The 25938-nt window shown below is 36.3% G+C and overlaps 2 long non-coding RNA genes across 14 annotated transcripts in view; one reads left to right on the forward strand and one right to left on the reverse strand.

Moving 5' to 3' along the window:
- Window positions 1–22928, forward strand: part of AGA-DT (AGA divergent transcript) — a 255397-nt gene extending 232469 nt beyond the window's left edge. For 10 of the 13 annotated variants that reach the window (NR_183786.1, NR_183781.1, NR_183780.1 and 7 more), the window contains one exon: window positions 855–2297. This is a non-coding gene — a long non-coding RNA (AGA divergent transcript). Of the gene's footprint in view, window positions 1–854; window positions 2298–4355; window positions 4524–21557 lie in introns of those variants that run through there. The other 3 variants (NR_183777.1, NR_183779.1, NR_183778.1) reach the window with 2 other exon arrangements.
- On the reverse strand, window positions 11691–16127 carry LOC105377559 (uncharacterized). The gene is made up of 2 exons (XR_939510.3): window positions 16023–16127; window positions 11691–11881 (listed from the first exon to the last, which is right to left on the reverse strand). It is a non-coding gene; the product is annotated as an uncharacterized LOC105377559 (long non-coding RNA).
- Window positions 22929–25938: the final 3010 nt, after the last annotated feature.

The following is a 25938-nucleotide window of genomic DNA, read 5'->3' on the forward strand; positions in this document are numbered from 1 at the left end:
GCAATTAGAAAAAATAGTTTACACTACAGAGTTTTACTCAACTATTCCTTGAGGTTCTGTTTTTTTTTGTTGTTTGTTTGTTTGTTTGTTTGTTTTTTGAGATGGAGTCTCACTCTGTCGCCCAGGCTGGAATTCAGTGGCATGATCTCAGCTCACTGCAGCCTCCGCCTGTCGGGTTCGAGCAATTCTTCTGCCTTAGCCTCCCGAGTAGCTGGGATTACAGATGTGTACCACCACGCCTGGCTAATTTTTGTATTTTTAGTAGAGATGGGGTTTCACCATATTGGCCAGGCTGGTCTCAAACTCCTGACCTCGTGACCCACCCACCTTAGCCCCCCAAAGTGCTGGGATTACATGCATTAGCCACCGCGCCCGGCCTCCTTGAGGTCCTGGACAGAGAATATTCCTACCACAGTCCTTGGCTTCATGTGAAGTCTTTCATCCCTTCACCAAAGAAGAGCCTCAACTTACCTGGGCTCCTTGGTGTCTAAGTCCTATAGAGTGAGACTCAAGAAAGACAAAATGACTTCCTGCTCTGTTATCCAAACCCTCTTTCCAACTTACTGTTTCCCCTTGAAATATCTGCCTTTTCCAGTGTGATGAATAGCATGGCTTTTCAGGGATAGAGAAGGATAAGAAAGTGTCTTTACTCTGGGCCACCCAGACATTCAGTCAGTACACAGGACATTAAGCTAGCATCTGTACAGGAGACACAGGGACTAACAAAAGAGTGGGTGGTTTTAAAATTGTATTTAATTAATTAATTTATATTTTGGCTACACATGGTATTTCTGAGGAGATCAAGGTGATTTGCTTTTCTCTAACATAGTGTGAAAATTAATTTGTCTTCACAGAATTGGAAAAATGAATGTAATTTGACATATGTCTTGAGTCTGGTTGGCTTCTGAGGAACTTGTGTGCATCTCATCAGTATGCATCTTAAGAACTGAAATGACCCTACTTCAGCATTGTGAGAAGACATGCATTCTCTTCGTATAAATAATGTGGATCTTACATGTAAAGTATTATAAAGATTAGCTGTTTAACAACTTAAATAAGCTTGTGAATAATAAATTAATAACAATGTTATGCTAATACGTAACTATGATATTTGCTGAACAAAATAAATTTGCCTACTTTGGAAGCAGATTGGGTGGTTTAATATATCAGCAAAAGAGTGTTTTTAAAAAATATCAAAGTTCTGTTAATCAAAACGTTTATTGTAGGACAGTTAGTAATGTTTTGTTTGCCAACTTATATTACAAAGTCTCTGTCTTAAGTGTTTCCTTGCAAATAAAATGACAATACTGCCTTACATTTTATTACTTTAGAGTTTGCAAAATATCTTCATTATAATATTTCATTTAGTAGACATGCCTATGGGAACATTACTTCCAGAATTAAAAACATTATTTTTGTTTTGGTATATTTTTAAACTACAAATGATAGAAAGGCAAGTAAATGTAAGTTTTTCTCTAGTTATTTGTTCAAATGCTAATTTAAAACATTTGTACATTTCTAATACAAACATTCCTTATTTGAGAAAAAATGGATTTCTTAAAAACAAAATGCATTTTAAAGCAGAGAGACAGGGCATTGAGCTGAAAATGGTGGCTGGAAGTTGGGATCTGTAAGAGAAGTTGAATGTGCCCCGAGGCATAAAGCTGCTAATTTTGTTTTATTGGATTTTACTGTAGCTATTAATATATTTTGCTGGAGATTTATGTGATCAATTTATCTTATGGCCAGAACTAATTCCCTTAGTATATTTTATTAGAATATGTGACTTTTTCTAAATTTAGCTTTATTTTTCATATTTTCCATAAATGGCAAAGATTCTATGTTTCCAGACATGTTAAGTATTGCAAGAATTATTGGAGCACCTAAAGATAAATAATATCAAAATAGTGTCATTGTTTCCCTTAGTTTCTCCTTCTCCCCCACAAATAAACCAAGAGGTATTTAGTTATACTATTGCATGTCTCTAGCTTTATTGGATTCTTCCATGAAAGAAAAATGGATTACATTTTTGGTTGTGTGGCCCTCGTTGCCCTATTGCACTTTTGATAATATTTGCCTGTGACAAGTAGTTATTTTTCATTACCACATTCAATCATGGGTAATAAAATATTTTAATAATGGTGAATGTGAAGTTAATTAATAACCCGCAGGTATGGCAGCTAGACAGGATTGCTCTCCATCTCAAACACAAGGAAAACAATTCCATCGGTAGTTATAAATTTGCATATGAATGTCAAATATATGAGGTTTTGAATAAAAATCATTTCTGAGTAAAAGTGTACATCGGCAAGCTGTATTTAAGTTCCGTATTTATAGATAAATTATTTCAGAATATGTTAGTTACTATGAATCATAATCAGAGTTCTTCAGTTAGGGAACTCTTGTAGTGCGTCAGTAGGTATCAATATTGAAATATTTGATATTATTTAACATGTTTTGCAACTTAGTTGAGTGTATATATGGTTTTACATATATTTAAGACATATAGATTAGTGAAATTTATTTTGGAATGAGTTGTTGCTTTATGTATTATAAATACAGAAATATTATGCAAAGTAATTTTAGGTTTATTGGCATGCAGCATATCTATATCTTCCTTCCTTCTTTCTCTCTTTGGTTCCTTCCTCTCTTCCTTCCCCTCTTTTTTTTTTTTTTTTTTTTTTGAAACACAGTCTCTCTCTGCACCCAGGCTGGAGTGCAGTGGACCTATCACAGCTCACTGCAGCCTGGGCCTCCCAGGCTCAGATGATCCTCCCACCTCAGCCTCCAGAGTAGCTGGGACTAAAGGCATGCACTACCACACCTCGCTAATTTTTTTGTATTTTTTGTAGACCTGGGGTTTCACCAGATTGGCCAGGTTTATCTCAAACTCCTGGCTTCAAGTATTCCACCTGCCTCAGTCTCCCCAAATGCTGGGACTACAGGCATGAGCCACCATGCCTGCCTGGCCTCTTCTTCCCCGTCTCAATCTTCCTTCCCTCTTTCTTTCCCTCTCTCTCCCTCTCTCTTCTTCCTCTTTTCTCCTTCCTCTCTCCCTCCCTCCTTTCTTCCTTCCTTCCTTCCTACTTTTTCTTTCTTTCTGCCTTCTAATACCCATCTTGTTTTTTGCAAAGTCAGCAAAAACCAGACAAAATAATAAAATCTTTAGTAACTTTTTCAAACTCATTTTCATGTATTCTCCCATATGTGGCCTTCTAGAAAAAAGAAAAGGCCATTGAAAGAGTGGAATAATATTATTCTTCTTCTTCTTTTTTTTTTTTTTTTTGAGACGGAGTCTTGCTCTGTCACCCAGGCTGGAGTGCAGTGGCGCGATCTCGGCTCACTGCAACCTCCGCCTCCCAGGTTCGCGCCATTCTCCTTCCTCAGGCTCCCGAGTAGCTGGGACTACAGGCGCCCACCACCCCATCTGGCTATTTTTTTGTATTTTTAGTAGAGATGGGGTTTCACCATGTTAGCCAGGATGGTCTCGATCTCCTGACCTCGTGAACCGCTGGCCTCGGCCTCCCAAAGTGCTGGGATTATAGGCGTGAGCCACTGCGCCCAGCCGAGTCCATTTGGGAATGGCTCAAGTTGTTTAACCATGTGAGACATAGAATTTTTGATTCTCTCATTCTGTTATAGATGCATTGCTTGTGTTGCTCAATCTATTCTTTTTAGGTATGAAAGGGACTATCATTGTTATTGTTTATTACTTATTAGGAGAGGAGCAGGTGATATAGAGAAGTAACAAGGCCTGGTCAGACAGGGCCCTTCCTTGTGGGACCTTTGAAAGGCTTTCATTTTTACTGTGAGCAACAAGGATTGTGAGCAGAAGAGTGACATGATTGGAATTACATTTTATCCCTTTGGCCACTGAGTTTCTAGCTCACTATTGAGGGAAGGGTGAAAGCAGGGAGGCCAATTTGAAATCGATGAAATAATCTAGGCAAGAGATGATGCAGGCCTAGACCAAAATAGTTGCTGTACAAATGCCATGAAATGCTCATATTTGGTGGGATATGGAGTGAAGGTAGGAGCAAAATTTTACTGACGGACTAGATATCTGTCCTTAGAGAAAAGAGGACCCTGGATATTTTCAAGACTTTTACCCTAAACTACTAAAAGGTTAGCATTGCTGTAAAATAAGATCAGAAAGACTGCGGCAAGACAGATATAGGGAAAGATCAAATTTTCAGTTCGGAAGATTTTGAAGGTGGACTATCTCTTAGCCATTTATGTGGTGATCTTTTCTAGGTAGTTGGATATAGGAATTTTGAGTTCAAGGGGCAGTTCTGTCTGGGAGATTTAAATGTAGGAAACATCACTTAACAGTGTATTCATAAATCATTATCTAGGTGAAATTACATAAAGATAAAAGGGGATGCACTGAACCTGATGGTACTTTCCTGTACAATTGAGAAAAGGTGAAATAAGCAGAAGACCAAGGGATGCATTGGGAGGAGGAGAACCAGGAGGAGGACCACGTAATGGAAGCCAAGTGAAGACAGTGTTTCCCAGTGCTGGTGAGTTAAGTAAGATGAAGACTCGGACTTGACCATGTAGCCATGTGGAGGGTATTGATGATTTCTGGTTCCCCAGAAGGGACAATAGAAATAATTACATATCGATAGAGGAATCCTAAAATTACACTTTGTGATTTTCCTCACCTTGAGAGCTCTTATATCTCTGGCAGTGTCTAAATCTTTTATAGATATTGACTCATTTACTCATCCATATAAACTGTAAAGTAGAATCCCTTATTATCCTCACTTTAGAGATGTGAAAACTGAAATCAGAGAAGTTAAATAATTGGGCCATGTTATTACATGGCCAGAAAGTAGCAGAGCTAAGATTTGATCTCAATTGTTCTGATTTTAGAGTCCACAGTCTTAAACACTGCACTATATACTAGCTATGAAATAAAGGAAAGTTAAACATGATTTATATATGATCCTAAGTAGTAGAATTTATATAGGATTTTTATATTTTTATGTGATCTATATTACATATTATTCTAAGTAGTAGGATAAAGCAAAAATGGCTGCCATGTGATCATCAAAGAATGCTAAGTTCAGAGTGTTTTAGTATCATATATTTTTTTCTAAATATTTTTTCCTTTAATAAAGAGTTGAGCCATTAACTATTAGGCATTGTGTTTTTGTTTGTTTGTTTGTTTGACAGAGGTCTTGCTCTGTTTCCCAAGATGGATTGCAGTGGCCTGATCATGGCTCACTGCAGCCTCTACCTCCCAGGTTTGAGCAATCCTCCCACCTCAGCCTCCTGAGTAACTGGGACTTCAGGCATGTGCCACCATGCCTGGTTAATTTTTTAAACTTTTAGTAGAGACAAGGTCTCCCTACGTTGCCCAGGCTGGTCTCAAGCTGCTGAACTCAAGTAATCCTCTTGCCTTGGTCTCCAAAGGTGCTGGGATTACAGGTGTGGGCCACTGTGTCCAGCCAGCACTGGCTTTTAATAAGTGTCACTGAAAAGTAAGTCGGTAAGAAACAACCCTCATCTCCAGGTGGTAGTAACTGAAAATGAAAGTAACAGAAAGTGAGAACATGGGGTGTGATTCTTGTAGTCTGTATTTTGCTGGTTTTTATTAGTTTTGAGCCTCAATTTGAACCTTTTGTACTGGAATCTAAAGATGAAGTTTCCCTGATGGCAAAATTACAATCCATCACTCACTAATGTCATTTCTTCCATGAGTCACATCCATCCTGAAGGAAAGTGCTTGAACTAGGAACATGTACCTTTATTACATGTAGGAGCAAAGACCATAATCCTATTATTTACTTCACCCCCATCTAATGCCTCTTAGTAATAGGGATGTTTATTATTTTTTAAACCAGAAGTTCACTTTCTCGTATCCATGTAAGTCTGTCTAGTTAGATTGGAGTAAACTGAATCCACTTCTGGCCAACTCAAGATACAATTGAAACTTAATTGAATACAACCATGCACCGGTCATAATGGTATTTTGGTCAAGGATGGATTGCATATACAACAGTGGTAATATAAGGTAATAATGAATGGAGTTGAAAAATTGCTATTGCTAATGCTGTCATAGCCATTGTAATATTGTAGCACAAGACATTACTCACATTTCTATAGTGATGCTGGTGTAAACACACCTATTGCACTGTCAGTCATATAAAAGTATGGCAATACAATTATGTACAGTACAAAACACTTGATAATTCTAATAAATGGTTATGTATTTATTATACAAAACTTTTTACCATTATCTTAGAGTGTTCTCTTTCTACTTAGAAAAAAGTTAACTCTAAAATAGCCTCAGGTAACTGTAAACAGCCTGTTAAATAGCAAGTCCTTCAGTAGGTATTCCAGAAGAAGGCATTGTTATTACAGGAGATGATAGCTCCATGCGTGTTGGTGCCCTGAAGACTTACAAGTGGGACAGGATGTGGAGGTGGAAGACAGTGATACTGATGATCCTTACCCTGTGTAGGCCTAGACTAATGTGTGTGTTTGTGTCTTCGTTTTTTTGTTTTTTTTTTTTTTTTTTAGACGGAGTCTTGGAGTCTTGCTCTGTCGCCCAGGCTGGAGTGTAGTGGCGCAGTCTTGGCTCATTGCAACCTCCTCCTCCCAGGTTCAAGCGATTCTCTGGCCTCAGTTGCTCAAGTAGCTGGCGTTACAAGTGCATGCCACCATGCCCAGCTAAGTTTTGTATTTTTAGTAGATACGGGGTTTCACCATGTTGGCCAGGCTGGTCTTGAACCCTTGACCTCAGGTGATCTGCCCACCTCGGCCTCCCAAAGTGCTGAGATTACAGGCATGAGCCACTGTACCAGGCTTACATCTTAGTTTTTAATAAAGAAGCTTAAAAAATAAAAAAATATGCAGAAGCTTATAAAATAAGGATATAAAGAAAATATTTTTGTACAGGTGTACAATGTGTTTGTGTTTTAAGCTAAGTGTTTCTTCAAAAGAGTCAAAAAGTTTAAAACATTAAAATGTTTATAAAGCAAAAGAGTTACAGTAAGCCACAGTTAATTTATTATTGAAGAAAGAAGAATTTTTAAAATAAATGTAGCGTGGTCTGAGTGTACAGTGTTTACAGAGTCTACAGTGTTGTACAGTCATGTCCTAGGCCTTCACATTCACTCACCACTCACTCACTTGCACACCCAGGGCAGCTTCCTGTCCTGCAAACCACATTCATGGTAAGTGCCCTGTCCAGGTGTACCACTTTTTATCTTTTCTACCATATTTTTACTGTACATTTTCCATGTTTAGATAAGTTTAGATACAGAAATACTTACTATTGTGTTCCAATTGTTTACAGTATTTAGTAGAGTAACCTGCTGTACAGATTTGTAGCCTAGGAGTAATAGGCTATACCATATACTAGGTGTGTAGTAGGCTACACCATCTAGGTTTGTGTAAGTACACTCTATGTGGTTTGCACAATGACAAAATTGTCTGAGGACACGTTTCTCAAAGTATATCCTCATCATTAAGTGATGCATGATTATACTTGAGCTGTAGAATGCTGATTACATCATTTGCCTTGATCTCAAAAGCTCATTGAAACTTCCTATTCTTTCATGAGTTATATCCATTTTTTTCAATCAAAACATGAAATACTCCATCAGTCTGTATCCGAATTAACTATATTGTCTGCTGTTTCCTTAAAATGAACATATTTTCAACTCACTGCTTCAGTCAGCCTTAATCTTTGCTTAAGCAATTTTTTTCCAATCTCTATTCCAATCATAGTCATCTTTCTTTTTCAAGTCTTTCATTAGGAGAACTTTTTTCCTTAGAATTAATCACATTATTTCCTATTTCTGCCTCAGTGTTTAAAAACTTAATATCTACAGATTGTATTGTACTTCACTGTGTATAACTAAATTATAGCTACAGCATTTTAATCCACTCAGACCTACTATGACACCTTAAGAAATTGAACTTCTGGGCCGGGTGCAGTGGTGGCTCATGCCTGTAATCCCAGCACTTTGGGAGGCCGAGGCGGGCGGATCACCTGAGGTCAGGAGTTCGAGACCAGCCTGGCCAACGTGATGAAACACCATCTCTACTAAAAATACAAAAATTAGCCAGGCATGGTGGCAGGTGCCTGTAATCCCAGCTACTTGGGAGGCTGAGGCAGGAGAATCACTTGAACCCAAGAGGTGGAGGTTTCAGTGAGCTGAGATCGCACCACTGCACTCCAGCCTGGGCGACAAGAGCAAAACTCCATCGCGAAGAAAAAAAAAATTAAACTTCTGGTGTGTAACAGGGAGTTATTGAGAAATTCAAACAGGTAATGATGTTTGAGGTTTTTGAAATGTGAGTGTAGGAGCGGTATAGTGTTTGGATTGGAGGAGGGATAGACTGGCCTCAGGGAGGCCAGTTAGCACAAGACTGAAATAGTATTGTCAAAGAATGATTAGCCCTGAATTACAGAAATAGCAGTAGGAGTGGGAAAATACTGAAAACATTTGGGACATGTCCAAAACACTAAACATTTTTCTCTATTATTCTAGCAGGCTGGAAGACATGACAAGTGAAAATCTCCCCTCTAGAATCCGTTTTCGTCACCTCTACTATTGTACTGCTGGTTTCACATATATCTTATAGATTGAGGGAGTTGGGCTGGGTGGGGAGACAGGTCTCTTTTCTGGCTTTCTAATTCTGCTGTATATCCTGCAATGGCTTAATTTATGGTGGCTGGCTTCATATTGAACAAAGGCCCTGTGACCAGGTCATTTTCTGGGAGCAGAAAGACAAAGAGGAATTTCGTTCTTCTCCCTAAACTCAGCACTGCATCAACCTTGATGCCATCTATTTAATGGGCATAGTTTTTCAACCTTGTTTATTATGACGAAGTTTCAATTGCTAGACCCATTTAAGACTTGTAGGAACAGAATGTGTCTTCTTGCTTCCAGGACGGAGTTCCTCTCCTGGTTTCTTCAAGACTTTATTTCTAGTTCAATTCCAACACCCTGTGCACTGGGACTCTGCTGCTGAGTAATAATGCCTGTGCTCTTCTCCAGTCACAGGCCCTTGTTTTTGCATTTCACAGTAACTCTTCTGTGATAATTGCAAGGTCAGATTTTCTGATCATTATCTGCTGCTGACTTGTATTTATTTCTTCACTTATGTGTTCAAATATGTTCAGTTATCAAAAACCTATTTTGTATAAATTACTCCACTGGCATCAAGGAGAGAATGCATAGAAATAAAAAAATTCCCTGCCCTCAGTAAACTTACACACTGGAAGAGTTGACTGAAAGTTGGTTTCACTGCCTTTCCAGTCTGACCTGTGAGAGATTACCATAGATTCTTCACTCTAAGTTCTTCTATGAAAATATTACATATGTAATACATAAAAATATAAGTTTTTATATAAAAATGAAAATAGAGAAAGTAGAATAAAAAAGTAGAAGCTTTCTCCACTCACAGATGCATATACAAACATACCCGTTCTTTGTAGAAGGAACCATTCTGAAGAATTTCATGTGTCCCCCTACACTACTTTTTCTTTGGCTTTAGAAAGTATATATTTATGTATATTAAAGCATATACATTTTTATACATAAATGAGTTTATATTACTATAGAGCAATTCTACTTAAAGCATGCTTTCAGATTTCAATGAAACTTTGTTTTAGATACCTTCTGTTAATTAGATTTTGCAATACTTTAAAGTTAATCAAATAAGGCAGGCAGTGCCACCTAATTATAAAAAGCTAATACCAGTTCTAAATTATGTGCTAATGCTATTCTAATATAAAATACACATTAAGCCAAACTCAAAAACTCTACCTCTTAAATTATTAATTAATGTGTGATGCTGGTTAACCAGACAATTTTTACATTGATTTGAACTCAAAGAAATTATCTATGTAAAGTGGCTTAAAGTGGAAAAGTCTCCTTATTTTGATATCAAAGTCGTAGGGAGGTGATAAATATTTTTGATGTCTTTGGAAAAAATCAACTCAATAATGATAGTATTTTAATTTGCAGTGGACTGGAATTCAAGGTTCCATATAAAGAACTGTGGTTGTTTATAAAATAGTCAGAATATTGTGGAACATTGTAATATGCAATGATATGGCTTTTATGCAAACTAGGTACAAGCTGATGGCTCTTTCCTTTGTGATTGAATTATTTGCTCCACATATAGCCTGTTCAATCTTGAAAATTAAGTCAAATCCCAAGTATTTTCTCTTCCCCTGATCACTTAGTTATAAGAAATATTCGTATATTCTATTGTGCATTTCTTAGTTTTGATCTTCAACCTTAAATACCTTGGCTTTGCTTTTGTTACATAGTTTTAATTTACTGTTTAACTTGAATTATGCCATTATACTAAAAGGGATTAAAGAGAATATAGCAAATTAAAGTGTGGATTGGATGGTAGCTGTTTTAATGTAATACCAAAGCTGGGTTTCCACAAGTATTTCCTTTTATTTCTATTTTGTTCCTTTTATTGCATTAATTTAATTTATTTGCTTATTTATGTATTGGTTAGCTTTAGTGATATTTGTTCCTTGGCAACTCTAATTTATATAGCCTGTATGTGAGAACTGAGAATGAAAAGAAAAAAAAAGAAAGATTGTAATAGAAAGGAGAGCAATTGTGTACAACTGGAACTTCTAATATTCAATGACGTTACAATTTCAGGTTTATATTAAGTTCTCAGATTAGAATTTTATATAAAACATTGATGCCTATTAAAATAATTATTTGATATGGAAATGATACATTAGTATAAATTCTTGAATTATCAATTTATAAGGTTATTAGTTGGATAAATATTTATAAGATAATATCACATCATCATCCAATAATTGTATTATTTTACAACTTCTCTAACGTAACCACTGAACACCCTAAGAGCCTGCTGACATGGGTTTTTATCATTTCTATAATCTAGTTGGATGAGTAATGTGCTAATCTTTGATGAAAAGTTATGCTTCTTTTTAGGGGGCCGCAGATGGTGTGGAGGTAGATTGATTAATTTGTGTCATGGTTTTAAACAAGGATCAGGAAAAATATGTTTTCACAATAAAAAACATTTTTCAGAAAGAAAAACGTATGTAAGAGTGAGAATCGTATGCCTCAATCTAGCTTTGAGTTTGGAAATTATACATCAAGAACAGAGTGGATAGAATCAAGGCAATATTTAAGGTTATTAACCATAGGAAACAGATAATAAAATGGAACAAAGATCCTTCTTCATGGCTATATATCAAATAACATCATTTTAAATTTGTATCTATTTTGAATTGCTGGTAATGCTGCCATCTTGTTGCTGTACTACAAGATGAATAAAGAGCCTGGAAATAGTCAACATTTATTAGCAGGATTTTCAAAATATGTTCTTAAATTTAAACTTCATCACCTTTCATGTGCCACTTATTATCTCTTTTATTATCTACCTCACCTAAATTCTCTGGAAGCTGCTTGGTAAATTAAAAGGAAGATATTGAGCATATCAATAATTTTTTAGAGCAAGCATTAAATCCAGTGGTGTGTAGTAATAGATTTTTTTATGGGAGATATTATTTAGCTTTCCCTTATTGCTTCTAGTTATTTGTGTTCAAGAAAAATGTTTAGAGAGGTTCAATAGATGTCTATTGTCCCCCACAACTCTGACCCCCATACTCTAAAACAAGAATATCTCAAATCTAGGGTGTTGAAGAAAGAGGAACAAGAGGGTATCACCAAAAATTTTAATCACTTATTTGTATGTTACGTTTCACAAACTACCTTGAGAGACTTAATTTTATATAATGCAGATGTTAGTAGTTCAATCTCTAGAAGCAGAAAGACTGGAGTTTGAAATTTGGTTCTGTCACTTTTCCCCAGTGTGATCTTGCACCAGTGATTCTAGTCCTTAATTTCTTCATCTACAAATTGAAGAAAATACCAGTTTTTACTTTATAAAGTTGTGGTGAGCATGAAATAAATGTTATTGCATGTAAAGTTTATAGAAGTGTACAGAGAAGGCATATCAAAAGCATACATATTAGCCATTATTTTAATATTCTAATAATTTGTTAACCTAACTTATTTACCACCTAAAAAATTTGGTTGGTTTCCCATTGTCTACCAGACACAGCCTGAGCTCTTTGGTGGACCATTTATGACACTTTATAGTCTGATCCTGAGCTCTTTGTTGTACCATTTATGACACTTTATAGTTGGATCTAAACATCCCTTTCCATTCTTACCTTCTGTAAGTACCAAAAAGGATGTGGGTGAGTAAACATCACACACTTTTGGATATAGCTTCACAACACTATTCATCATTTCTAAGTAGATCATTTCCAAATGACATGATCTGTTTGCATAAAAGTGATCTTTGCCCATATTGCCTGCTAAATGTTTTCCACTTGCCTCCACTGGGCATGGATTATGACTTAGGTTAATTCTTAACTCTTCTTGTAAACCTTTCCTTGTTCTGGGTACTCCAGTCATAATTAATTAGTTTGTCTTTTGTGTTCTTATATAATTTAAAAAATATTTATATTTCAGTGCTATAACCAGTACTATGGTAATTTGTAACAATTTATCTGCCACAAAATTGTAAATTCTTCATGATCTTGAAAGGTTCAAGCTCCATGTCTTGTATTTATCACAGTTCCTAGGACATAGTAGGCATTTGATAATGTTTTCAGAAAGACAAACTCATGGAAATTAAGAAAAATGGGAGACATATTAAGAACTTAATAAAATCTTAATAAAGATTACTATGTACTGAATGATGGTGGCTCCCCCAAATTCTTATGTGGAAGCCCTAACCCCCAATGTGATGGTGTTTGGAGGTGGGGCCTTTGGGAGGTGATTAGGTTTAGATCTTGAGACAGAGAGCCTTATGATGAGATTATTACCCTTATAAGAAGAAGGAGACAGAGAGCTCCTTGGAAGGGCCATGTGAACGCACAGCTAGAAGGTAGTTACAAGCTGGGAATTAGACCCTCATCTGGAAATAAATCTGCCATCATCTTGATCTTGGATTTTCCAGTCACCAGAACTGTGAAAGACAAGTATCTATTGCTTAAGACATCAAGTCTTGGTATTTTGTTTTAGCACCCCAAGAAGGCTAAGGAAAACATATTATTTGGTGTTTTCATATTAGGTAGAGAAACATTTTTTAGATGAAAGCATGTCTATTTTGGGACTGGGATCCTCAAACAGAGGATATCACTGTTTTAAAATTTGAAAACTTTAATAGAAGTTAATATAGGCAAAATAAAAGAAACATGTTGATGATCAAGTGATCAAGGCAGGCTGGAGTGAGGTATAAGAAACCTAGTTTATAATACAGTGGATAGTAAATAAATATTTGTAGATGACTGCCCCATAATGAATGGATGCATTGATTAATAAGTGAAAACCTAGTAGGCCTCCCTCTACTGAACTTCAGTGTTGGCATCATGAGATGTCTCACTTTTAAAAAAATGTTTCCCATTAAGTTTCTCTTATTCTTTGTCAGTTGAAGAATATTAAGTTAGTTCCATCAGGTTTAACCTCACAACCTTGCACATTTCTGTAGTTATTCCAGATATGAAGTTCTGTTAAGTTAGTCTCCTAGCAAGCTGTCCATTAATTCTGAATTCAGACCAAACTTTAAAGTTATCAATAGGAATAAAGCTAATGAAGTCTATAGTTCCAAATAAAATTGATGATTATTTGTTAAATTACCAAGAGAGGAATATCCAAAATTTTCAAGGCAATTATATTTATGTACATGCATTTGACCACAGATTTTGAGACAGGTACTTCACAATATCATTGCATTTTGAACGATTAACTATTCATGATTTCATATATTCACGCATTATCAGGTCATTTATTTTAATTAAAATAATGTAACACCTTCCAATGATTAATAATAGGATGTTTCACAAAAGTAAATTCTACTTTATTAAAATCATAAAAATTATAGTAATAGATTAATCTCCTCCATAAGTTAGCTGCATAAAGTGCCTTCACCAATAAATAAAACTGTTCATTTTCAAGATTTGGGGTTTGTATTTCTTGACATTATGAAATAGATGCTTCCTTTTTTTTGGCCCTATACAAGCAATTTATTGAAATCTGTTAGAATTTGAGCTAAGTCTGTATTGGGCTTATTATCCTGCCTCCATGCTTGAAAAAAAAAAACAAAACAAAATACAGTTTCTTTAAAATAGTTGCTCTGAGATTACTTCCAACTTCCATATATAACGCGTGTCATTATTTTTTACTTACTGCTTCATAAATCAACCTTTTTTCTATTTTTCCTCTCTTTTATAAAAATCATCCAGGTCTATAATACTTCCTCCAATTCTTGCTCTAAGATGGGATCTCTGTGTATTACTAGGAAAAATACAACTGTAATTTAGTATTTATTGCAGGAATGACAACTGAGGAATAAAAAGCCTCTAACATTGCATCCAAATAATCCCAGATGAGGATCATTTTCATGCTTAATAAGTAGCTCTATTCACTATATCTTGTTTTGTTTGTTTCATATTTTTCCTGGTGTGGCGGTCTTGTAATAATTTTTGGCTCTAAAGTATGCTGTTGTTTGGTTTTAATAAGACATCAGCTTGCAGTAAAACTGAACAGATGCGATTTAAAGTGCTGATCTATCTTGCAGATCCCCATAAACTTGCATTCCTATTTCATAGGCATGAATAGGAATGAAACCCAGTGCAATTGTAAGTAGAATAATCTATTTCTAAGTTTTTATACCCCAACACCCCTACCTCCTCCCATTTTTCATGGCAAACATTTTCTTTGATAAGAAAGCCTTCATTGTAGGAAACAATCTCTCATGGGCTGATTTATCTGGATAATTTTTTGAAAACTCATGTTTACCATGACAGACTCTGCAGATTACACTGGGCTGAGAGTCAAAATATTAGCAGTGGATTTCTCTGCATAGTAGACATTAGTACACCTTTTTTGTTCAATGAGCTACTTTAGCATATGGGATGTAAAGTTCCACTATGTGATTATGTCTTGAGCTAGCTGAGTTATAGACAGTTCAAGTACTTTTTGATAGCGGATTTTTTTTTTTTTTTTTTTTTTTAGATGGAGTCTCCCTCTGTCGCCCAGGCTGGAGTGCAGTGGCACGATCTCGGCTCACTGCAAGCTCTGCTCACTGCAAGCTCTGCCTCCCGGGTTCACGCCATTCTCCTTCCTCAGCCTCCCGAGTAGCTGGGACTACAGGTGTCTGCCACCACGCCTGGCTAATTTTTTGTATTTTTAGTAGAGACGGGGTTTCACCATGTTAGCCAGGATGGTCTCGATCTCCTGACCTTGTGATCCGCCCGCCTCGGCCTCCCAAAGTGCTGGGATTACAGGCGTGAGCCACCGCGCCCGGCCTTGACAGTGGACTTTAAATAACCCAGCTCAGAGCACTTAACATGTTCTACTGACTTCCTGAGGGTTACTTACTCACATATTTTCAACATAGGCTTAATGTAGCATCATGAAAGGACCATACAAAAATGCTCAAAGATTGTTTCTCTAAGAACATGTTTGGATATTTTTAAAGGAAAATATGCTTATTATAAGTGTTAGAAGTTGTTATAGCACGTGCCTTGTAGTCCCAGCTACTCGGGAGGCTGAGGCTGGAGAAGCGCTTGAACCCGGGAGGCGGAGCTTGCAGTGAGCTGAGATCGCGCCACTGCACTCCAGCCTGGGCGACAGAGTGAGATTCCGTCTCAAAATAATAATAATAAAAAATTGTTATACCAAATATGGAATCGGTTTACCATGAAATTCTAAGCTGCTGAATTGGGGAGGGGCATTCATTGTGTTACTCTGGAAACATCACAATTATTTTTTAAAAAACTTTTAAGTTAAATTGGTTCTGGCAACTTTTCTAGCTGCCTAAAGGTAAGGTGTCGTAAACCTGTCGGAAACAGTGAATAAGTGACAGCAAATTTGGGAATAGAAAAGGAGAAAATAGTGATCCTACAGATTGAGATAAGTATACCAGATATTTGTCAGCATTCAGGAATACCACATTTATTCAACAGATGAAAAACTCACATAATCCAGTGGTTTCCAATGTCCTCTATAACAAGGCAGCTTGTGTGAGACTAACCCTCCCCTAAAAAATAGAAAAGATTAGTACGTGAGTCCACTCTTTTAAAGCATTAGGGAACCACCATGGCAGACAGAACTACGGGGCTACAAATTCTGGAAACAAGGGAGGCAGATTTATGTGAGTCCTATATTTATCTATCTCTGAGATTTTCCTCAGGGCTTTGTCAATGCCATGGGTGAGGTGGCAGAGCAGAAGTCGAAAGCCTGGGGTCACGAAAGTCTCATTGTGCTGAGGAAACAGAAGGTGGCGTTTGGACCCTCCAAGAACAATTGAATTTTAGGGAAAAAGTAACTGCAGGGAAGTGAGAGACTGCGTGAAGGCCTTTGGTCACTTCCTCCACACCTCCTTCCACCACACACTTCCTGTGTGGTGTTCAGGAAAAGACACCAGAAAACAAATAGCAAGCCATATTTGAGATCTAAAGAATTGAACAAATATTCCAACAGTCTTGGTTATAGGGAAAATGAAGCAAAAGTGTAGAGATGAACAAATTGAATGACCCCCATGAGCACTCAGCTTTCAATTAAGATCGCAGAAAGGATATAACCTAAGAGCAAGGTTTATGCCTTAGAGGTAAGAGTTGACCAAAGAAAGCCCAACTTTAAGAAAGCTTCATACCTTCCTTTGACTAGATCAGGGTGATCTGCCAAAATACTCTAGGCATGCACGAAGATTAGCCCTCTTTTGAGAAAGAGTATAAATCAGGGACTCCCCAATTATTATATACCATGTATGTCATTAATTAAAAATGACCAGACATGTCTATAAAATGTATGGAAACCAAAATTAAAAATACAGACTATCAAAATAGATCCACAGGTGATCTAGGTAGTCTAATTATTTATAAATAAGGGACTTTAATAATGATTATTAAGTTAAAAAATAAAAGATGTAGACTTATTGGAGGACTGGGATCTATAAGTCAACTTATCATTTTCAAACTAAGGAAATAGAATAATTGAATATAAGAATTAAAAAGCTAGACTTATTAATGTATTAAACATTGCAGGAGAAATAGCAAACTGAAAAAAGTCAGAATACTTGAAACACGTATAGAAATAGGATGGGAAATTCAGAAAGGCATGTAAAATTTAGGGAATACAATGAACAGATCTTTTTTAAAAATGTAATTTGAGTTCCAGAGTAAGAAGACTAGGGCAGAAGCAATATTTGACATAATATTTCCTGCAAATTTACCAAGATAGGCATAGACATCAAATATACAATGCAAGAAGCATGATGGACCCCAATTAGAAGAAATACAAAGAAAATCACATGTAAATGCATCATATAAAATAGCTGAACTAAAGAGAAAAATAAAATCTTCATAGCAGCCGGAAAAAAAAAATTTCCCTTAACAGAGAGAAAGAAAGAAAAAAAGAGTGGCAGCTGTTTTTTTAGCAGAAGCAATGAAAGAAAGAAGGAAAAGGAATCACATTTTTCAAGTTCTGAAAGCAATAACTGACAATGGAGAATTCCATATTATGCAAAATATTAACCAATCTTGTGTAACGATACCAGATACCAGATAAAGTAGTGTTTATGGTGAGAAATAGTATAAGAAATACGTAGGCATATTTCATTATGATAAATGTATGAATTCAACAGAAAGACATTACAATTCTAAATTTGTGTGTATGCAATGGTAGTTTAAAATATACATGGCAAAACCTAACAAAAGTTAAAGAAAAAATAACAAGGAGATAAAATAACAAGGAGATTTTAACATTCTCCTCACTCATGTATAGTCATTTTAACAGTCTTCTCTCAATCGTGTAAAACAGATACAAGTCAGAGTTAATTTATTAGTGTGGTAGGGCTGCCATAACAAAGTACCACAAAGTTGGTGGCTTAATCAAAGGAAATGTATTGTCTCTCAGTTCTGGATTATAGAAGTTTGAAATCAAGGTATCAAAAGGGTTGGGTCTTCCTAGAGGTTTTGTGGGACATCCACACCATAGAATAACAAGCAATTCAAGAAGCACAATTAAAAGAAATGTAAACAAACAAACAAACACCCAAATGCATCAAATAAAATTGCTGACACACACAATTATACGTTGAGATGTCAAGGGAATTTTGAAAAAGACATTCTCAAAAGGTTATATGTGATTCTATGTATATAACATTGTAAAAAAATGACAAAATTATAGACATGAAAAACAGATTATTGTGGCCAGGGGTTAGGAGATTTGAGAATGGGAGGTGGCTTTGGCTATAAATGTGTAGCACATGGTCTTTTGTGATATAACTCTTGGTGGTCACATGAATCTATTAAAAGATAAACTTACATAGACTCAATATATACACAAAGTGAGTATGTGTAAAACTTGTGAAATCGAAACAATATTGGTGGATTGTATCAAGGTCAATTTTTTTTATATTATACTCTGATTTTATACAGTGTTATCATTGGGGGAAGCTGAAGAAAGTTTATACAGGAAGTCTCTGTATTATTTCTTAGGACTGCATATGACTCTACTATTATCTCTGGATGCAAGAGTTAGAAAAAAATACAACATTCAGAGAATTAAAAGACAAGCCTGAGGCTAGGTGTGGTGGCTCACACCTGTCATCCCAGTACTTTGAGTGGCCAAAGCAGGCAGATCACCTGAGGTCAGGAGCTCAAGACCAGCCTGGCCAACATGGCAAAACCCTTTGTCTCTACTAAAAAACACAAAAATTAGCCAGGCACGTTGGCGGGCATCTGTAATCCCAGCTGCTCGGGAGGTTGAGGCAGGAGAATCACTTGAACCCGGTTGGCAGAGGTTGCAGTGAGCAGAGATCACTGTACTCCAGTGTACTCTGCTGTACTCCAGCCTGGGCGACAGAGAGAGACACTGTCTCAAAAAAATCCAAAAAACACAAGCCTGAGTGGGAGAAGATATTTGTGACACATACATAACAATGATACCACAGCCAGATCTATCTAGCTCTAGATCTAAATCAGGACAATAAAAATTAAACCGCAATAAAATACCGTTACAAACCTACCAGATGGCTAAGAATGAAACAAAACAAAAAATTAAAAATACGCAGTGATATCCAGGATGCAAGGCAACTGGAAATCTTACACACTGCTGATGGGAGTATAAATTAATTGATGCAACAGCTTTAGAAAATCCTTTGGCAATATATTCAAAGCTGAGCATCCCCATATTCTATGACCCAGCAGTTCCACTCTTCCATATACACCCAACACAAATGAGTCCATGAGATTTATTTTTAGCAATTTCTATATCTCATATAAATTAAATCATGGGTTAGATATTGATGTAATCTGACTTCCTTTATTCAACATTATGTCTGTGAGATTCTCTCTGGATGTTGAGTGCAGTAGCACAATCAAACTATGTGTCTTTCACGGCTATATAGCAGATTTGTCAACCGTGGTACTATTCCACCTTTTGGACTGGTTAATTCTTTATTAGTCAGGTTCATCCTATGTATGTTAAGATGTTTAGCAGCTTCCCTGGCCTCTACTCATTAAATGCCAGTAGCAGCCCCCTCAAGTTGGAACAATCAAAATATCTGTAGACATTCCTACTTTCAAGGAGGGACAAAATTGGCTCCAGTTGACTATCCAATCTGTATAGTATTCGGTTGTTGGAATGTATCATATAACTACCCACTTTACTGCAGTGCAAGTTTGGTTGATTGGGGTTTTGGTAACAGTATGGATTTATTCAAGTGAATAAGTTTACTCAAATTATCCTGAGGATAAAGTGGTTTAGTGTATAGGGTTTACACAACTTTTGTGAGAACTTTCCAGGGACAGTGGGGAAGCAATAATGATATTGTCACTAAATGTAAGCACTCGTGAAGAAGAAAGTTCAGGAAGTTCAGATGCTGGAGACCTCAACCTGGATCACCAAAGCAAGTATTTCTCAAAGGTACCAGGAAAATTGCATCTTTATGTAGTTTATTAAGGAAAATAAGAATTTTCCTCAATAAATAAAAATTATTGAACTTCATTACTGCCTTTTTGCACACAGAATTTCATGTGAATAAAAAGTATTGGTCTTACTATTGGAGGCCTATTACCATATCACAGCTAAATGCAAAACAAAACAAACATATATATTGGTTGACAACATTTATTTGAAAAATACAAAATAAGGTAATCTTTAAAAAACATGGTTGGCATGATTAGATTAAATAAGAATTTTCCTTAATAAATCTTGTGGTAAGAGTGCTTGTCTTATATATGGTATTTCTAGGAATGTTTATAAGAAAGGGAATTACGTCATTTGGTGAAATTATATAAAAAATAAGTACCTGGGGAAATTTATGAAAAATTATAAGGTGTTACACTCATAAATGAAGTATTTCTTCCCCAAAAGATTTATGTCTGTAGCTTTGGTTACACAGTGCAGACTTTTAAAATATCGTTTTTGCTTATAACTTCATCTCAAAAGATTTCTACCAAGTAAAAAAATGATATACCTGTTATAATAGTGATGATCTGCATATATAAAATTATAGCCATTCAACTGTTATTAATGGTGCTTTGCATTAGGTAGTGATGAATTATGATAGCTGCCTTATTTCCTAAACAATCCCTTCCACATATAACTAAACTATTTTAATAAAATCTTGATCATATTAAATTTTCTTTCATGTATGCATTTAAGGAAGTGTCACAAAAGCACAAAATTATATATTCACACAAACACACACAGATAAAACATAAACTGAAGTTGTGATGAATTAATAAAAATTATTGAACTTCATTACTGCCTTTTTGCAAACAGAATTTCAAGTGAATAAAAAGTATTGGTCTTACCGTTGGAGGCCTATTACCATATTACAGCTAAATGCAAAACAAAAGAAACATATGTATTGGTTAACAACATTTATCTGAAAAATACAAAATAAGTAATCTTTAAAAAACATGGTTGGCATGATTAGATTAAGAATGATTAGGTCGGGAGCGGTGGCTCACACCTGTAATCCTAGCACTTTGGGAGGCCGAGCGGGGCGGATCACGAGATCAGGAGATGGAGACCATCCTGGCCAACATGGTGAAACCCCATCTCTACTAAAAATACAAAAATTAGCTGGGTGTGGTGGCGTGTGCCTGTAATCCCAGCTACTGGAGAGGCTGAGGCAGGAAAATCGCTTGAACCGGGGAGTCGGAGGTTGCAGTGAGCCGAGATCGTGCCTAGCGACAGAGCAAGAGACTCTGTCTCAAAACAAAACAAAACCAGAATGATTATAAGAAAAGGGCTTTCTGTAAGGTTTGACTACTGTCATCTAAACTAAGATAATTACGGTTAACACACTTGTGTGCCTGATAGCTAACAAAAGCATTTAGTCCTCTAAGGACTGAGACACAATTCATAAGTTTTGTTTTTGTTTCTTGTTTCAATTTTTAAAAATCCAGGCATAATAATTGTACCTATTTACAAGGTACATGTGATATTTTGATAAGCATATAGAACTTAACACCGATCTGATCTTTTAATTGTTTCCAGGCAAGGAGCAGGCTCCATGCATGCATTTGGGCTCTGTGGAAAATCTAGCCAGGGATGCGGGCCTTTCTGAACGCCGCTTTCATTGTGCCCCCTGCAGCATTATCTCTTCGATGCGATGTCCCTGCTGACTGAAATGCAGAGAAGCTACTAAGATCCACACACCAGTTGCTGCAATCGGTGCCCTGCTCTTTGTCCCCCATTCACCCCAGGTGATTCAGCTCTTCTGGCACTCCCAGTGATTCCTGTGGGACAGGCCCAGAGTGGACTTCCCACGAAGATTCCCAGACTGGGGGAGAGCTCTAAGATCCACTTCCAATTCCTTTGTCTCACCTAGGAGACTCTGGGTTTATGGAAGTTCTCTCTGATTAGTGCTGTTGCAGCTGGGTTTGGGGGTCATGTAGTCTAAATGATTGTTTCTCTTACTGGTGGTGATTTTTCCAGTTTCTGTGGGCCCAGTGGATTTCTCTGCTTCTCCTTAGAGTTCTGGTGAACTCAGAATGTTAGTGTTATTCTTTTCTTTGAAAATAGTTTCCATTTGTAATTTGCTTGGAGAGTGATTCTGGGGGATTCTATTCTGCCATCTTGCTGCTGTCACTCTTTAATAAGATTTGTAACTAATTCTCAAATTGTTCATAGTCTTAAAACTACATAGAGTTGATTTCATACATTTTATTATGAGAACAATAAAAGTATTTTGTGTCTTTGCTAGTGAGATTTTTAGTTATACAGAAATTACAGTGTTTCCTGCTATGTTCAATCATTCCAAGATTCATTATACATATGTTAAATATGTTATACATTTGTTTACATAATGCATATTTTATTTTTTTTCTGAGATACCCAAAGCATAATCTCCCTCACTATCCTGAATAATTATAAATTAGTATTTCATATATGATAGAAAATTTGTGACATCCACTATTTTTAAGAACGGCTAGGCTGGGCGTGGTGGCTCATTCCTGTAATCCCAGCACTTTGAGAGGCTGAGGTGGGCGGATCACGTGAGTTCGGGAGTTCGAGACCAGCCTGACCAGCATGGAGAAACCCCATCTCTACTAAAAATACAAAATTAGCCGGGCGTGGTGGCACATGCCTGTATTCCCAGCTACTCGGGAGGCTGAAGCAGGAGAATTGCTTGAACCCGGGAGGTGGAGGTTGCAGTGAGCCGACATCATGCCATTGCACTCCAGCCTGGGCAGCAAGAGTGAAACTCTGTCTCGAAAAAAAAAAAAAAAAAAAAAGAAGAATGGCTAATTTCAGAACATGTTTATATGTATGTTGTATTCAATGTCTTTAATTAAAGTCTGTTTCTTTATCCTAATTTGTGTGGCAAACTAATATTTACCATAATAAATGGCTTGAAGAATAAAAGTCAATTAGCGGCTATATTTGTTAAATGTTAAAGTATTTTATTTTGTCTAAGAGAGGGTTACAAATTAAAATATATTTAATAATAATCGCCTTAGTAATTATATCGATTTAAAATACATACTAGATAATATACTTAAATTTATTTTTGAGACTATGTCATTTTTGACACAGTCAAAAACAAAACACCTTGTAGAGATGTCATATGATGATTATTCATGGTTATTTAAATGTAAATATCCACACATACACAAAAATGCCCAAAGAGGTCATCGCAAAGGAATAAATTGCATCTTACTAAGAAGTAAACTTAGAGCTCAGGTCTATATTTTTATCAGAGAAAACAAAAATCAATATTTCAGTATGTGTCTGTGTGACTACAATACAGATTCATCATCACACATTTACCAAGTCTAATAACATCCACTTTGGGTTACTCTTACGTATTTATTTTTACAACTGTAAGATGTGGTAGAGCTTCCTCTTTTTTGAATGCTAGTCATTTAATATGTATTTTTTCCCCAAAATTCCTGCTTCTCAGGCCTTGGCGTTTTTTTTGTTTTTGTTTTTAATACCAAGAGAATGCCTTTAGAGGAGCACTGAATATACAGAAAGCTCTGATGCCCCATTCTGACCAATTCACCTTTAACACTTCCTTTCTCATTCAACAAATTCATTTAAATATTTTTGAACAATTGTGTACTTTTCAGGTTGAAGGAAACATATTTATTTTTAGGCAGGAAGACTGATGCAATAAATATTTATTAAAATATTTTTCTCTCCAGGCTTAAACATGTCTGTCAGTTGATGAAATTCAGGGTAATCTTTGCAGGATGAATAAAATGACCTAGAGATTCTGTCAATGTTCTCACTCTCCGTGACACATTTTTATGCCTAGCAGAGTCATAGACTAAATTCTTATGAATCAGTTTTATGAAATACCTTAATAGAAGATATGGTCTTCTTCTATTGTGATAATTCATGACAATATAGTAAATCAGAGGGAGCCATTACATCTTATCAGCAATATAGGAGCACCTCCCCTTACTGGCCAGCTATGCAGCTTCTACATGATGTTAAATGATTGTGCATTTTGAAAACATCCTCAGAGAAAGCCTATACTTGGACATCTTTGGAGTTAACAGGTATTGTTAATAACTCACACAATAGTAAAACTCTGATGGATTGATTCTTGAATACTTGTTTCCCAGACACAACAACAGTGTTCATTTTCCAACAGTAAATGGCAAAACAAAACAAGGCCAACTAACACACTTCCAAACCAAAACCCACATACCCTGAGGTTCTCTGGTGACTCTTCAGAAGCAGATGGTCCACAGGAATAGACAACTCGGGATAAGCCAATAACCCCACCGAGCAGACTCCTTCCGCCAAAGGACCTCAGAAAACTGCCTTGATCCAGAAGCCTCTAATTGCAATACGCTTATTTGCAAGTTTTTGTTCTTTATTCTCTATATTCTTTCCCCCTACTGGAAAAAGGTTCTGAATTTTTAGCAGATACCCCTCTCCTGAAGTCATAGTACTGCACGACTCATTGATAATGACCAGGTTATGTGAATTCACTGTCACACCAGATGACGGAAAAAAGATCACTAAAGAAGAAACAACATGACTAATTCCACTTGAAGAGGTGAAAATACACTGTTACAACATGATACAAGATTACTAACCACTGAGTGAACAGTGTTGCAAGTTTGGATTGATCATATCCCCAGGAGGGGATGGTTTGTCCTTTAGCTTAGCCTGAAAGCCCACCAGATGCGGAACTAATGAAATAAAAAAGTACCTGGTGATAGCAAGGGTATGCATACGTGGGTTGAGGGTGGGGATGAGAACTTAAGCAGAAATCATGACTTGCAAAATAGACTGATTTATTATTCACAAAATAAATCTATCAAACAAAACCATAATATACATGCCACACTATCTGTAATTAGATTTTTTAATATCAGCTTTATCAGACCCATATGCTCCAGGAAATCAAAGAACAACAGAAAAACTTCCCTCCATTTCTACATGAACCCATGTACTCTAATGGTGAGATCACTGACTAGTCCAGCACTTTGCCTATTTCCTGTATCTTGGAGAATCCTTGCCAAAACAAGCTTATGATTAACTTCAGCCTGTCAAATTCTAAAATAGCTTTTCCTTAGCTTCTCCTATGAAATACTCCGTGATCATTCATGTGTATGTCATTCTTTGCTGCAGCAGGCTACATAAACCTATGTCTTTTGAGTTACAAATATCTTCTCAGTGGTCTTTAGTTGGAGGATCTGTCATTAGTTTAAAAAGGTAATTAGTTTTTAAAAATTGTTTTGAAAAAGATATAGATGAGATCCAACACTACCATTTCAAATTTTTATTTAAATGGCTAGAGAATATTATATCGATTTATTTTACATAGTTTTCTCTTACAGCTTTTAATTAAATCTAGATCCTGGTGAGTGGAAAATTAGACAGTTTTAGAGAATGAATAAAACAAAAATATTCTAAATATACAATCATATCATCTGCAAACAGAGACAATTTGACTTCCTGTCTTCCTATTTGAACACCCTTTATTTCTTTCTCTTGCCTGATTGCCCTGGCCAGAACTTCCAATACTATGGTGAATAGGAGTGGTGAGAGAGGGCATCCTTGTCTTGTGCAGGTTTTCAAAGGGAATGCTTCCAGCTTTTGACTATTCAGTATGATAGTGGCTATGGGTTTGTCATAAATAGCTCTTATTATTTTGAGATATGTTTCATCAATACCTAGTTTATTGAGAGTTTTTAACATGAAGGGCTGTTGAATTTTATCAAAGGCCTTTTCTGCATCTACTGAGATAATCGTGTGGTTTTTGTCACTGGTTCTGTTTATCTGATGGATTATGTTTATTGATTTGCATATGTTGAACCAGCCTTGCATCCCAGGGATGAAGCCAACTTGACCATGGTAGATAAGCTTTTTGATGTGCTGCTGGATTTGGTTTGCCAGTATTTTATTGAGGATT

This window comes from Homo sapiens, chromosome 4 (genome assembly GCF_000001405.40).
Source record: "Homo sapiens chromosome 4, GRCh38.p14 Primary Assembly".
In the NCBI taxonomy this organism is placed as follows: domain Eukaryota; kingdom Metazoa; phylum Chordata; class Mammalia; order Primates; family Hominidae; genus Homo; species Homo sapiens.